Here is a 16,000-nt window from a genome sequence, read left to right as displayed (position 1 = left end):
TTCCTGGATCTGCCCTGGCCACCAGCTGTTGGCCTTCTAGTGCAGTGGTTCTCAGAGCTTTAGCCTGCATCAGATTCACTTGGAGGACTTGTTAATTGATGGGCCTCACCTCTATATTTCTGATTCAGAAGTTCTGGGGTTGGGCCTGAGAATATGCATTTCTAAGAAGTTTGCAGATGATACTGATGCTCAAGTTCAGCATTTCCAAACCTATTTTATTTTTTGACTCATGGAACTCTTTAGACATTAATATATAATTTCACAATCACCTACATGAATTTTTCAATCATGTTATAATTTCCTAAGTTTTACATGTTTTAAAGAAGGGCTTTAAGTTCAAAAATTTGTATCTGCATAATGATAAACATTGTGGTCATCCAGAGCCTTGCTACTCAAAGTGTGGTCTGTGAACCAGCATACCTAGGAGCTTGTCAGAAATGCAGACTCTCAGGCTCTACCTCAGACCTAATGAGTCAGAATCTGAACTTGAACAGTAGTCCCAGGTGTGCACATTACAATTTAAGAAACACTAATGTAGAACTGACATTAAATCCAATCTGAATAATATTCAAAACAAATAAGCATTTTAAATTTTGATGTTTAAAAGTGGCATGTTTCATTTACTTTTATTCTCTTTCATATGAGAAAAAGCATGATTTCATATAAGAGAAAGCATATATCAAATTTGGTTTGGGAACCAAGTGCTGAAATTTAATGAAATTAATAATACAAAAATGGACAAAATTTCATTCATGACCTGATATTTGGAAATACTACTTTTTGCATATACAACTGCCTTATTTTTATAATTTTTAGGAAGTAATAGATTTCTGACTGTTAATTGTAATGACCTCTCTGCAAATAATGTTAATGTGTGTGGAGAGTGTTTTTGCCTCAAAGTAAAAGCTTACTTGGATATATTTTTTGTTACATTTGTTATTTTTCTCTTTTTTTTGGAAGTGATAGTAGAAATGTCTTTCATCCGATAATTACAATTTAGGGATCTGGAGAAGATTATCTTGAGACATATTTGCAAAATTGTTACTTTAAAATTTTCTTATAACTTGTTTTTCAATATCATTGTTCATTATATCTCTTTTCTTTAAACGATTATCAATGAGGATAATAATCTATCTTTTAGGGTTTTGAAGGTCAGAGTTTTATATGTATAAACCTCAAAAAGTGCCTGGCACATAGGATGTTTTACATAAGTGATGATATCAACCCCATCCTTCTCTTCCTCTTTGTTGTCTTCTTGCTCTTCCTCATTATCATTGTTACAATCCATAGCAAGCTCAGGATAGAGTTTAATTATCTACTCTGTGAAGCCAGGGGCAGACTGGACTCAATGTCTTAGTCTGCTCAGGCTGCTATAATAAAGTATAATAGACTAGGTAGCTTAAACAATAGATATTTATTTCTCACAGTTCTGGAGGCTGGGAAGTCTAAGATAAAAAAGGCTCAAGACAATTAGGTTCCTGGTGAGGGCTATCTTCCTGGCTTTCAGAGGACTGCCTTCTCACTATGTCCTTGGGCTCCAGCTTTTAACGTAGATTCAGTCGAACAAAATCAAGCATCTTTGCGAAATCTTCAATATGTTATATTTAAAGGCTGAATTTTGAAGGTAGCACAAAAAGTGGGAAGGAATATGGGTTTCCTTCCCATACTTCTTCTAATAGGTAGAAGCCACAAACCACTTCAACCTATTAGATGTGTGACTTTGTGCAAGTTTCTTAACCTTGGAGCCTACATTTTCCCATATATAAAATGGGAATAAAAGGTACTGGGTATTTGTTGGGTGGACTAAATAAAGTTATGTGAAAGTAGATACTGGTTTGTACTGGTTCTTTTCTCCTTCCTCTTGTCACAACAAAACAGCTCTTATTATGTTTTTATTTAATATTATTTTACATATTTTTAACTTAACCCTATTTTTGGATCCTCTTGACTTTTTGTTTGATTATTTTAGTAATCTTTGGGTGAGCTAAAAATTAATGTACAAAGACCTCATATATTATGTTTACTGGGGTATGGATTGAGGGTTGCTGGAGAAGGTCTGAGTTTTCTTTGTGTTTCCTTCTTTTACATAAAAGAAGTTTGTCTTCATCTTTTGCCATAAAATATATCAGCAATGTTATCTTCATTGGTTGCCATTTTAGACTTTAGGGGTGGAAAGAATAAATCTTTTACTTTTGCAGCCTAAGAATTTATATCTGCTAAGTGGAAAATTAAAGGATAGGAATTTGATTTGACTCCTTGTTCAGTGCTCTTTCTACCATATTATACTTTCATTTAAATGAAATAAAGGTATTTTCACTTAAATGGAGAACACAGTTTGATGATTTTGGTTATCAACATGATTATATTGATACAAAATTTTATCACATATATTTTACTTTTTTGAACAGGTAATACATATACAGAGTACTAAAGGTAAGTACAAGTAAGTCTCCCTTAGCCCCACCCCTAGCCATAGCAGGCCACAACTGCTCAGTGGATATGTTCCATATATTCCTCTGTTGGTTTGCTCAAGTGGCAGTGTAATATGTAAACTTCTATGTACTTTGCTTTTTCCACTTAAAAATGTGGGTTAGGGCTGGGCACAGTGGCTCACGCCTGCAATCGCAGCACTTTGGGAGGCCGAGGTAGGCGGATCACCTGAGGTCGGGAGTTCGAGACCAGCCTGACCAACATGGAGAAACCTCGTCTCTACTAAAAATACAAAACAATTAGCCAGGTGTGGTGGCGCATGCCTGTAATCCCAGCTACTTGGGAGGCTGAGGCAGGCGAATCACTTGAACCCGGGAGGCGGAGGTTGCAGTGAGCCAAGATTGTGCCATTGCACTCCAGCCTGGGCAGTAAGAGCAAAACTTCGTGTCAAAAAAAAAAAAAAAAAGTGGGCTAGGTGCAGTAGCTCATGCCTGTAATCTCAGCACTTTGGAAGGCTGAGGCGAAAGGATAACTTGAGGCTAGGAGTTTGAGACCAGCCTGGTCAACATAGTGAGACCCCATCTCTAAAATAATAAATAAATAAATACATAAATAAATAAATAAAAATAATAATAAAAGCCTGTTGTGGTGGTGTACACCTGTAGTCCCAGCTACTTGGGAGGTTGAAGCAGGAGGATTGTGGAGCCCAAGAGTTCAAGATTACGGTGAGCTATGATTGTCTCTAAAAAACAATATAAATGAATAAAACAAAATACATAAATAAAATTTTTTTAAAGTGAAAAGTAATATATTGTAAATTACATGTATTTGCTTCTCAGAGCTTGATGACTATTTCTCTTTTCTCTCAGCTCTCATGAATTGATTGGTTGTTTGTTTTTTAAGACACGCTCTGCTGCCAGGCTGTAGTGCAGTGGCATGAACACAGCTCACTGCAGCCTTGACCTCCCTAGCTCAAGCTATCATTCCTTCTTAGCCACCCAGGTATCTGGGACTACAGGCAGGCACCACCATGCCTGGCTAATTTTTAAATTTTTGTGGAGATGTTGCTCAGGCTGGTCTCAAACTCCTGGTCTCAAGTGATCCTCCTGCCTAGGCCTCCCAAAGTATTGGGATTATTTATAGGCATGAGCCATGGTGCCTGGCTAATTAACCGATTTATTAACTCAGTGTCTTAGCCCGTGTGTGCTGCTATAACAAAACGCCACAAATTGGATAACTTATAAACAATAGAAATTTATTTCTCAAATTTCTGAAGGCTGGGAAGTCCACATCAAGGTGGTGGCAGGTTTATTGACGGTGAGGGCTGCTGTTTCTGCTTTTAAGATGGTACTTTGTTGCTGCACCTTCTGAAGGAGATGGATGCTGTGTTCTCATGGTGGAAGGGATGGAAAGGTTGTGTGAAGCCTTGATTATAAAGTCCTTCCCATTCATGAGGAAGGAGCCCTCAGGACCCAATCACCTTCTAAAGGTCCTACCTCATCATACTGTTTCATTGGGGACTATGTTTCAACATGAATTTTGGAGGGACACAAATATTCAAACCATAGCACACATTAACAAGTGCTTATTGAACACTATGGTCAGGCACTATTCTAGGACCTGGGAATGGAGGAGTGAACAAGATAGAAGAAAACCATCTTTTTGGCAGGTGATTATGATAAGGGTAAAAATAAGGCCTGTGATAGCCCAAAAGAGGGAGAAATGAATTTCTTCAGATATAATCAGAGAAAGCTTTCAGGAAAAAGTGGTATTTTATGTGGAATTTAAGTGTGGTAGAAGCTCAACGGAAGAATAGGGAAGAAATGGTACTCTAGCACAAATGTACTGGAATTATTTTGGTTTTGTTTCAATTTCGTGTATCTATTGGTGCTTGACAGTTCTATGTTCAAGGTTAACATTTGCTTGAAATTTTGGAAAATTGATTCCTTTTGTAAATAAATTCTGTTTCTTTATCTTAAAAATCATTTTGTGCTCACCGTCAAATTTTTTTCTGGTTTTTTTTTTTTTTGAACTAGATAGGAAAACAGGATTTTTGTGGGTAATTTTTACCTATTTGGTCTTTTTAAAAAAGTTATGAGTTTTCTTTTACTTTTTTTCTTATAATTTCATGTGTTGTTATAATTAGCTATTATTTGTTGCATTGTCATCGTGTGCTTACAGTAGAGGTTCTCAACCTTAGCTGCACTGGAATCACATGAAGAGCTTTAGAAATGCTGATGGTTGGGCCCCACTTAGTTCTGGGGTGTGGCCTGGACAGCAGGATTTTCAAAAGCTCCTCATTCAGGCAATTCTGCTTTGCAGCCAAGGTTGAGAAGCCATTGGCTTAAAGCATTTCAGAGGTAACTGAAACATGTTTTCTGCTTTTGGAAAGTAGGTAACTATGGTTTCAAATGAGTGGTGGGATAAATCCGTCATCTCAAATCTCTTGCTTAGAATAAAGCTGATTAGAATTGCCATGGTTGAATGAAGTCCTTGAGTTTGTTAAAGCACTTTGACTAAGGCATAAATGGAATTAAGTAAAGCGCATATATGCATAGTATAATTTTAAGAACTTTAAATTCCTGTATGCCTTGGGGAAGGGATAAAAGTTCTTGTTTTGAACTCTGTACAAATCAGCCATTTGACTTATTATTTAAGTCAAAAACTAACAAATTTGTTTTTAGAATCTAGTATAGTTAGGTGAAGCTTGTTTTTAAAGTCTTGTTGACTTTGTCACCTACTTTCAATGTAATAAGTATTCTGTTACTGTAAAGGGGATCTTTGTTTACTCCAGTAACAAGATGTTGGACAAAAAACTTGTAAACTCAAATAGTTACTTCCCTGAGGTTTCAGAGAGCCTCCAGAAAGAAACTGAACTAAACTTTACACTACTCCTTTCTTTTATTCTGAGAAGTGATCCAGTCTGTTTCCAGCTTGGCATTGGGAGCTGAGATCAGTTTAGAGATGTTTTACTGTGAATTCACTGTTTGAAGTATTGCAAATTCCCAGAATATGGCCATATCTTGCGGCATGTACTGCAGTAGGGTTGGAAACTTCTCATATGTCTATATATTATGTTAGCATGGGGTCTGAAAATAGGGGAGCTTAATGAATAGAATAATTAGAATTGGGTTTAAAGTCTAAGTTTTCTATTTCTAAGCCATGTTACCTTGATTTGTTTAACTTATCTAGCCTTAGTTTCTTTTTCTGGAAAATAGGGAGAAATGATACCTAAATTTAAAGTTTGTTAATGAAATAAAATATTTAAAATGCTTAATAAAATGCCTACCTACAGTTGGTCTGTAATAAATAAAAGTTCCCCGTTTTGATATTGAATTATACTAGACAATCATTTTAGTAAAAATGATACCTGAGAACAAATAAAACCCTAAATTTTCTTTAATATTGAAACATTAATAATAATGAATATTTGGAGTGATATAGGACTCACGTTTTATGTAGCTGAATGTTGGATGTTTCTGAATTTCTGATAAACTTGACAATCTAATAAAGGTGTTGATATTATACCTTTGCTTATCATAATAGGTTTTATTTTTCATTGTGTTTATAGATATTTTACAAGAACTGAAGGATTCTTACAATAAGGAGAAATTAGAAAGTTGATAGTACAGACTGAACAATATGGTATTGTTAGGGCATAAATGCCTACGTTCATATATTTACAATGAAAATACAAGCAAAGTGTACTATAGGCCATGTTGAGATGTAGCCAGATCAAATTAATTCATTGATTGTTGCATTCCTCTGTGTGCCTGAATAAAATCATCATAATAATGACCCCACCCATTTTCTGTCCTTCAAAACTGTTCTCATTTTTTAAGGCACAATTCAAGATGTGGTTTACTTTATTAAGTTGTCCCCCATAATCCTTTATATAGGAATCACTTCTCTGCATTCTGTCAACATGTGACCTCTACCCTGCCTGGCACTTTTCACTGTCTCATATTAAAAGCAGTGTTTCAGGCATTGGGTTGAAGGTTGTGTGGGTTTCTAAATAAGACACTCTGGCATTGACATTAGAAGAATCTTCATTTTAATCTCTGTGTTGTAATTTTCTTTGTAAAGATACACAAAATAATTTGTCCTTTCTAAGCTCAACTTATCTGTAAGATGGGGATAAAAGCTTCTACCTTACAGGTTTGTTGAAAGATTAAATGGTATAATATAAATGCCTAAGATAATAAGTGTTCAATAAATAGTAGTGAATATTGTTATTGCTGTTATTGTTTGTGTATAGTATATTATTTATTGAATATACATGTGACACGTGACTTAATAAAACTTCTTCCCCTAGACTATGCATTCTTTCAGGATAGGAAAGCATCACTTGGCATTTTGCGTAAGGTTTAATAAACCGATTTACAATTATTTGTTGATTGAACACATTAACTTTCACCTTGACTTTTAAAAAGAATAGTCTTGGCATATATGAAAAAAAATTCAAAAAAGTTTTTTCTAAATGACCTTGTTTTAAAATCACTGCAGGTACCTTGTTATCCCATAACTTTGGTATCCTGAAATCTGAGGATTCCACCAAGATAATATGATAAGAACTTTCAGTGATTTGGGGCCATATCCTACTTAGACTAATGTGGAATTTCCAGATTTCCTGAGAGCTTGGTACAGCAGCACACACTGCTTGCTAATCAGCACAGGCAATAATGCCATCTCTGCCTCAAGAAGGAGGTAGGGAAATTGACTTAACTATGTTACAAAATATGGAGGTGTTATACATCATTACTGTTAATATTTTTAAAGTATTAAAAATTAATTGGGGACTTTTTAAAGTACCAGGATTTGTAATTTTACCTTGGTGTGGGGTGGGGGTGGTATTTGTGTTGTCTGGTATAGATTTTTGTTTTCAGTGTTATCTGATTATTTTACATTTTTTTAAAGTTATTCAGGGACCCTCTCCCCTGGATTTGAATACAGAATTACCTTATCAAAGCACAATGAAAAGGAAAGTCAGAAAGAAGAAAAAGAAGGGAACCATTACAGCAAATGTTGCCGGGACAAAGTTTGAAATTGGTAGGTTTCCTTAGAAGCAATCATGGGATTCTCATAATTGCTGGAAAAACTGATTTGGTGTTAAAAACAATGTAGAAATCCAAAGAGATAACTTATCTTTTATATAATGGATTTTTAAATGCCTTCTATAAAATTTCTAACATATTAGAAGGATTCTTTTTCTGTGTGGTAGAAGATGATATCCTTAAAAAGATCCCAACTGATTTCTAAAATTTCAGTTCAAACACTTAATATGATTAGACAGCTTAGCTGAAAAAAGGGACTTGGCATTGTATTTTTCTTTGAAGTTTAATTTTGTCAGCTCTTCAAGCTGTGAATTTCATAATAAGATAGGTTTATATGTGACTGACCTGACAAATTTGAATTTATGAATGTAAAGAAAAAATGGATCTTTCCAATGTTCATATATAACCTGAATGTTCCTAGCCTCATGGGTTTGTGTATACATAAATACCCAAATTTAAGTAACACATTACATTCCTTCTTCTTTTTTTTTTTTTGAGGCGGAGTTTCTGTCGCCCAGGCTGGAGTGCAGTGGCGCAATCTCGGCTCACTGCAAGCTCCGTCTCCCGGGTTCACGCCATTCTCCTGCCTCAGTTTCGCGAGTAGCTGGGACTACAGGCGCCCGCCACCACACCTGGCTAATTTTTTGTATTTTTAGTAGGGACGGGGTTTCACTGTGTTAGCCAGGATGGTCTCTATCTCCTGACCTCGTTATCCGCCCACCTTGGACTCCCAAAGTGCTGGGATTACAGGCGTGAGCCACCGTGCCCAGCCTACGTTCCTTCTAAACGTAACTGCCAGGAGTTCCATTTATCTCACTAAAGTCTTCCCAGGTATCTTTGAGATGCTGCAGGCAGTGTCTCTCATATACTCAGGAACAGTTGTGCTCCTGACATGCTCTTCTGAATTTGTTATTGTTTTCTGCTTGTGAGCCAGGTAAGGAATAGTCTGTGTTGCTATTGCCCTTGCTCTCTACATGAGCTGTAGGTGGCACAGCAGCTGCTGAGTCCTCAGGATGCCAAAGCTGCATGGTGGTCTGTGACAGATGAGAGAGGAATATTCCTTTCCCCAACTCTTGGGATTGTACACTGTCACCTGGGACTACACCATTCTGTTAAGACTCAGGATTCTGTTGGAAGCCAAAAATTACCTGAAGTCTTCTGCTTATCTTTATTCCACACTTGAAATTCAGTGGAAGAAAAATGCCAATATGTTAATTGTAAAATCTAGATTGGAGAGGAACACATGAATAGTTTGTACTAAAAAGGAAACGTTCCTCTGAGCATAAACGTTTTCAGTAGGATTAGAGGGTTGGGAGCAGTGGAGAACCAAAACCAAATCTCTCCTGTGAATATTGCTTCATTATTTCACGTCCTAAGTAAACATAGATGAGTTGACTTTAAGTACTAAAAATAATTTGAACTAGGGAGGTGGAAAGTATGGCATAGGTGTGATGATCAGGGGATATTTTTACTTTTGGTCTTTTGTACCTAACCGAAGGTCATAAAAAAAGCTATAAAAAGTACATTTTCCTGAGTAGACGTATTGTCTCAGCTGTGTGTGTTTTCCTTGTGCCATAAATAATCACTAAACCCTTTGGCAGTTTTGTGTACCTGTTAAACCTGAGAAGATCGAAAGGAAGGATTTTTGGGTGCAACCGAAAAACAGTTCTCAGTTACTACTGAGAATAATTTGGCCCTAGATAAAACTGTTGTAACTAAAAATAAGGTTAGGCTGTAACTAATATTTTTCAAATGAAATACTATGAACTAAAGTTTAGATAGAAAAATGTTTCTGCAATGAATATATTTCAGAAGTATTTTAATTTTGGTTTAACTTAACTGTTTACTTGCAGTTCGTTTAGTAATAGATGAAATGGGATTTATGAAAACTCCAGATGAGGATGAAACAAGTAATCTTATATGGTGTGATTCTGCTGTTCAGCAGGAGAAAATTTCAGAGCTGCAAAATTATCAGGTAGGAAATTAATCATGACCAGTTAGTGGTATGAGGAAAGTTATATGGATTCCACATAACTTTTTTAGATAGGTTCTTAATATGTTGCCTTATTACATTTCAGCTCTTACTCACCTGAATAGCCTGTTTTGTTGCTATCCAGTTGTATTGGCTCTTTGCATGAAGCCTGCATCTTTTGCAGACTTAAGTTTTAACCTCTTTCTATCTTTAGGGAAGAATCAATAGAAAAAACCTCTTCTGGTTGGGCGTGGTGGCTGACACCTGTAATCCCAGCATTTTGGGAGGCCAAGGCGGGTGGATCACGAGGTCAAGAGATTGAGACCTTCCCTGGCCAACATAGTGAAACCCCATCTCTACTAAAAATACAAAAATTAGCTGGGTATGGTGGCACACGCCTGTAGTCCCAGCTACTCAGGAGGCTGAGGCAGGAGAATTGCTTAAACCCGGGAGGTGGAGGCTACAGTGAGCTGAGATTGGGCCACTGCACTACAGCTTGGTGACAGCGAGACTCCATCTCAAAAAACAAACAACAACCACCAAAAAAAAAAACAAAACAAAAAAAACACCTCTTCCTAAGATGGTGCTTTAAAGATGTAGAGTAGATTGCATAGGGAGACCAGGATGCAGAAATACTTGTGATGTCAGCTATATGTAATCTGGTTTCATTCTTTTATTTTTAGAACATAATACAAACTTATATTCAGAAGAAAATAGACCTCAAACTAAAAAGCCAAATATAAGGAATTCTAGAGAGTTGACAGTTTGTATAGACCTTATTCATTTATTAGTTTAGAAGGTAATATAAAATTGACTGTAGTGAACAAATAAGTCATTTTTGCCAGTGCTTATGTCTGTGAATATAGTGAATCTAGAATAACAAAAGTAATTTGGATATTGAATTATCACTATTCAACCTAGAAAATTATAACTTTACTATCTATGTAGATATTCTTTTGTGTTTTCTTTAAAATTTTGCAGTTTTATTCTCTGATTACCATACTCTTTAATTCTACAAATTCACTGTAGGTCATTTAACATTAAATCTTTTAGATTAATAATTGGCAGTTTATTAAAACATAAAACTCAAAGGATGGATAGAATTGTATTGTCGTATACATGAATATAATTAATTCGCTGAGAATATTAATATTTACCTTTTTATTTTCCAGAGGATCAACCATTTTCCAGGAATGGGGGAGATCTGTAGGAAGGATTTCTTAGCAAGAAATATGACCAAGTAATCTTTATTTTCTTGTAATGGAGAAGACCTGTTCAAAATTTATACCATAACTACTGTAGTGCTATCTTTCACAAGGTTACATTGATTTGAAATGATATTTAGATGAGAGTGATAGAATTTTGGAGCTAGAGAGGTCTTAGAAGGTCTCTGGTTCCAGTCTTCCATTTTGCAGAGGAGGTAAATGAGGGTCAGAGAAATGAATATCTTGCACAAGCTCAAGCAAATTGTTAATAGCAGAGGTGGATCAGAATCAGTCTCCAGAATCTCAGGCCTCTTTACTGCAACTTGTTGCCTCTTTAGTAACAGAGTTTTTCATTTAAATGTAAGAGGTTATCTGTATATGTCATTTAAGAGATACTTGTTTATTTTCAGTCAAATTTTGCAGGAACTAATTTGTTGCATTATAAGCTGTGTGTGTGTGTGTGTGTGTGTGTGTGTGTTTGTGTGTGTCTTCATATTGGTGATTGAGCATTTAATATGTGCCAGGGATTGTACTAGGTACATGTATGCACACACTTACTCAAAGACACATGTATATATGCTCACCCAGGGATACACATGCACAGATATTTATCTCTGCAACCAATATTTAGAGTAACAATCTACTTTCATGGAAAAGCTGATAATAAGTACCCCGGTCTTTTACTTAATAAACTGAAAAATTTTTAGGCAGTTTATATTCCTGTTGACTAGGGTTTTTTGCCTTTTTCTTAACTTAAGAAAGTTGAGTGATAAACTGATAATTTTTTAAAAAAAGAAGACAATTCACAGAGATTTAGTAAACTTTCTGACTCTAAAAAATGGTAGTATAAAAGGTAATCAAAAACTGTTCCCTATGTGTGATAATTTGTAAAGAAGCAACATAAATAGTATTTGCCTGAATAATTCCCTACTCCCTACTCCCATCCCTGAGGCAGAGTTATTGACTCCTACATGTTACCTTGCCTTATATGCCTTTAGTGTACCTATCACACTGTTTAATATTAATAGCCTATGTATATATTCCTTGGGAGCAGAGATGATACTAATTTATCTTACTATCTCCAGTACCTAGCACAGAGTGTGTACTCTAAAAAAAATGTTTTTGATGTACTAATATGTAAATTAGTACATATTAGGGCAAGGTTGTTTTTTTTTTTCACTGATGAATCCATAGTCCAGAATAGTGTCTAACACTTAATAGGTGCTCAGTAGACATTTGTTGAATGAATGAAATCAATGAATAAGTAAATGAAGGAATGGAGAAAATTTAAATCTTTGTGGCAAATATCAGTAGCCCAGAGAAAGAAAATATATGCTAGTTTGAATAGAAATTATTTTTCCTATTATGTCCAATTTACAGAATGATCAAGTCTCGGCCTCTGGATTATACCTTTGTTCCTCGAACTTGGATCTTTCCTGCTGAATATACTCAATTCCAAAATTATGTGAAAGAATTGAAGAAAAAACGGAAGCAGAAAACTTTTATAGTGAAACCAGCTAATGGTGCAATGGGTCATGGGTAGGTTTGCTTTTATTTGGAATATATAAAAATAAAAAAAAATTTGGGAGTGGGGAGAATAAATGTGCATAATTACTCATGCGTGAGTACCAATATGAAAAAATAACGAAATAGGTTTCTAACTATTGTAGTTTTGGAACCAAATATTTAATGATCTCTATTCTTTTAAACTCTCCCACAGGCTTCAGTAATTCAATTAAAAATTTAATCAGCAGGTTGTGAGGCTTTGAAAGGAGATAACAAAATATAAGGGGAAAAAGCTATTCTCTGTTTTTTTCTAAAACATAAAACTCACATTTATAATAATTTCAATAGGCTTGGAGAGTAAAATCAGTTGCTACAGTAGAGCTAAAACTGACTTGGAGAAAGAAATGAAAAGGGAGTTATTCTTTTCATAGCTAGAAATCTTGAAGGAAAATACATATCTTCTTTGCCTTTAAATAAGTTTTTTCTTTATGTAGCCATGGTAATTGGATTAAAAATGAGTAGAACACATTTTAAACTGAAGTTCCAAGAGCTGGACATGTTAACTGAGAATAGAATGTGTAAGTAATATTGCACTGCCAATCATATAAAAGTATAGCATGTACAATTATACACGGTACATAATACTTAATAATGAAAATAAATGACTGTTACTGGTTTATGTATTTACTATTAAAAAAGAATGTGCAAGTAATACTCTTGTTTCCTTTTGCTTACTTATGTTAGTTTTCTGCAATGTACTTTTTCAAAGAAAATGTGGCTGAGGCTGCTTTTAATAAAATACACTTGGCCGGGCGTGGTGGCTCACACCTATAATCCCAGCACTTTGGGAGGCCGAGGCGGGCGGATCACGAGGACAGGAGATCGAGACCATCCTGGCTAACACAGTGAAGCCCCGTCTCTACTAAAAATACAAAAAATTAGCCGGGCATGGTGGCGGGCGCCTGCAGTCCCAGCTACTCAGGAGGCTGAGGCAGGAGAATGGTGTGAACCTGGGAGGCAGAGCTTGCAGTGAGCCAAGATCGAGCCACTGCACTCCAGCCTGGGCGACAGTGCAAGACTCTGTCAAAAAAAAATACATGAGTCATTTTAATTTAAAATGCTATAGGAAAAAAGATATTTGGAAATATAGCTACCAGGTAAATTATTGTTCAAAATTTTTCTTTTGACTTTTAATCATAACTTAATAATCCAATCATACATTATTTGCAAATGTGGTTTGGTAATTTTAAACTAATAGTATTAGTGGGAATTGTATACCAATTGCTTAATGCTGAGTTGGCTGTCTCTGTGTTAGCATTAAAGGAATGTTTCTGATGGTAAAGAATTGATTTTCACATTTTTCTCAATTTTAATGTTAAAAATTTAATATTAAATATCTATATTTATATACTTATATTTGATATTAAAACATACATAATCTTTTAATTTATTTTGATGGCAATATAAACAAATAGCTGGAAAAGCAGATAACTGAAAGGGCATTATGTGTTCCCATGGTTTATCTCATGTAATGCAGTAGTACCTACGTAAAGAACACCTCTCTCATCTATTGAATTGTATCTGTTTCCTTGCTAATGTGTTTTGTTATTTTGTCCATTATTGAAAGTGGACTATTGAAGAACCCAACTGTTATTGTTGAAGTATTTCTCCCTTCAATTCTACCAGTGTTTGCTTCATGTATTTTGGAACTCCGTTATTAGGCACATAAATGTTTCCAATTGTTACATATTTTTGAGGCATTGACTTTTAAAAAATCATTATATAATATGATTCTTTGTCTCTTGTAACAATTTTGCCACTCCAGGTTACTGTTTTATTGCAATATCTTTTCCATCCTTTCATTTTGAATCTATTTGAGTCTTTGACTTTAAAGGGTGTCTCTTGTAGACAGCATATTGGTGGACCATGTTTTTTAAAAATTCATTCTGCCAAGCTCTGCCTTTTATTGGAGAGTTAATCTATTTACATTTAATGTAATTATTGAAAAAGAAATATTTACTTAGGCCATTTTGCCACTTGATTTATGTGTCTTGTAGCTTTTGTTCCTCAATTTCTCTATATTGTCCTCTTTTGTGTTAAATAGATATTTTCTTCTGTACCATTTTAATTCCCTTGTCATTTCTTTTACTATATATTGTTGAGTTTTAAAAAATGATTGCCCTGGAATTACCATTATCGTCTTAATTTATAATAATCCAGTCTATATTACTACCAACTTAGTTTCAGTAGTGTATAAAAACTTTGTTCCTACATAGATTTACTCCCTTTATGTTGTTATTGTCACAAATTATATCTCTGCACCTTCTGTGTCCATCAGCATAGATTTATAACTATTGTTTTATGCAGTTGTCTTTTAATTCATTAGGAAAAATGAGGAGTTAAAAACTGAAACTACAGTAAGAGAGACTTTTTTGTTTTTTAAGACGGAGTCTCGCTCTGTCACTCAGTCACCCAGGCTGGAGTGCAGTGGCATGATCTTGGCTCACGGCAACCTCTGCCTCCCAGGTTCAAGTGACTCTCCTTCCCCAGCCTCCCGAGCAGCTGGGATTACAGGCGTATGCCACCATGCCTGGCTAACTTTTGTAGTTTTAGTAGAGATGGGGTTTTCTCCATGTTGGCCAGGCTGATCTCGAACTCCTGACTTCAGGTGATCTACACATGTTGGCCTCCCAAAGTGCTGGGATTACAGGTGTAAGCCACTGTGCCCGGCCAGAACTTTTATATTTACCTGAGTAGTCACCTTTCTGGTGTTCTTTGACAATTTGATTATAATGTATATAATGTATCTTGATATGGATCTCTTTGAGTTTATCCTACTTGGAGGTAATTGAGCTTCTTGGATGTGTAGATTAATGTTTTTATCAAATTGGGAAGTTTTCTGCCAGTATTTCTTCAAATATTCTTTGGATTTTTTTTCTTTGTCTTCTCTCCTTCTGAGACTCCTGTTATGTGTGTGTTGCTGTACTTAATGGTATTTCACAGATTTTATAGGCTCTGTTCATTTTTCTTCTTTTTTCTTTCTGTTCCTCAGACTAGATAATGTCAGTTGGCTTATCCTCAAGTTTTCTGATTCTCTTTATGCCTTGTCAAGTATACTGTTTATATCCTTTAGTGAATTTTTTTATCTCAGTTATTATACTTCTCAACTCCAAAATTTCTGTTTGGTTCCTTTATTTTTTCCCAATTTTCTATCACTATTCATATTCCTTATTTAGTGAGACACTGTTCTCATAGTTTCTTTCAGTTCTTTGTACATGGTTTCTGTTAGCTCTTTGAACAAATTTTAAATAGTTGATTATCCAGTAAACCCAATGTCTGGGCTTCCTCGCAACTGTTTCTATTAATTGATAGTTTCCCTGTATTTGGGCTATACTTTCTTTTTCCTTTGCATGCCTCATAATATTTTGTTGAAATCCGAACATTTTCAGTATTATACTATAGCAATTCTAGAAATTAGACTCTCCCCCTCTACGCAATTTGTTGTTGCAGCTCATTGTAGTAGTTGTAGTCTGTGTTCTTTGCTGTGTATGGCCACTGAAGTTCCTGTTCTGTTAGCTCAGTGGTCAGCTAATAATTGGACAGAGATTTCCTTAAACAGAACAAAACAAACAACAAAAAAGCTCCCAATTTTTGTAGATGGCTGTGTGTGCATGATTGTTGGGACATGCCTTTAACATGCAAACAAATAATTTACAACTCTGCCTTAGCCTTAACTTCCTGCTTGTACAGAGTCTGATGGTTAGCCAGAGGGGACAGCTTAGGGCCTTCTCGGGTCTTTCTTGAGCATGCTTCTAACCTTGGGCATGTAACTG

The 16,000-nt window shown here is 35.4% G+C and overlaps 1 protein-coding gene across 8 annotated transcripts in view; it reads left to right on the top strand.

Moving 5' to 3' along the window:
• The window catches only part of TTLL7 (tubulin tyrosine ligase like 7), a 134,109-nt gene that overhangs the window by 39,809 nt on the left and 78,300 nt on the right, over positions 1–16,000 (top strand). For 5 of the 8 annotated variants that reach the window (XR_007063701.1, NM_001350214.2, XM_047430680.1 and 2 more), the window contains exons 2-7: positions 2,409–2,433; positions 6,937–7,137; positions 7,348–7,479; positions 9,338–9,459; positions 10,629–10,696; positions 12,042–12,200. Coding sequence is in view for 6 of the 8 variants with exons in the window: in NM_001350214.2 (NP_001337143.1) it covers positions 7,113–7,137; positions 7,348–7,479; positions 9,338–9,459; positions 10,629–10,696; positions 12,042–12,200 (506 nt within the window). In the remaining 2 variants the exon portion in view is untranslated. Of the gene's footprint in view, positions 1–2,408; positions 2,434–6,936; positions 7,138–7,347; positions 7,480–9,337; positions 9,460–10,628; positions 10,697–12,041; positions 12,201–16,000 lie in introns of those variants that run through there. The other 3 variants (NM_024686.6, NM_001350215.2, XM_047430691.1) reach the window with 3 other exon arrangements.

Source organism: Homo sapiens, chromosome 1 (genome assembly GCF_000001405.40).
Source record: "Homo sapiens chromosome 1, GRCh38.p14 Primary Assembly".
Classification (NCBI taxonomy): domain Eukaryota; kingdom Metazoa; phylum Chordata; class Mammalia; order Primates; family Hominidae; genus Homo; species Homo sapiens.
This window is presented reverse-complemented; position numbering and strand designations above follow the sequence as displayed.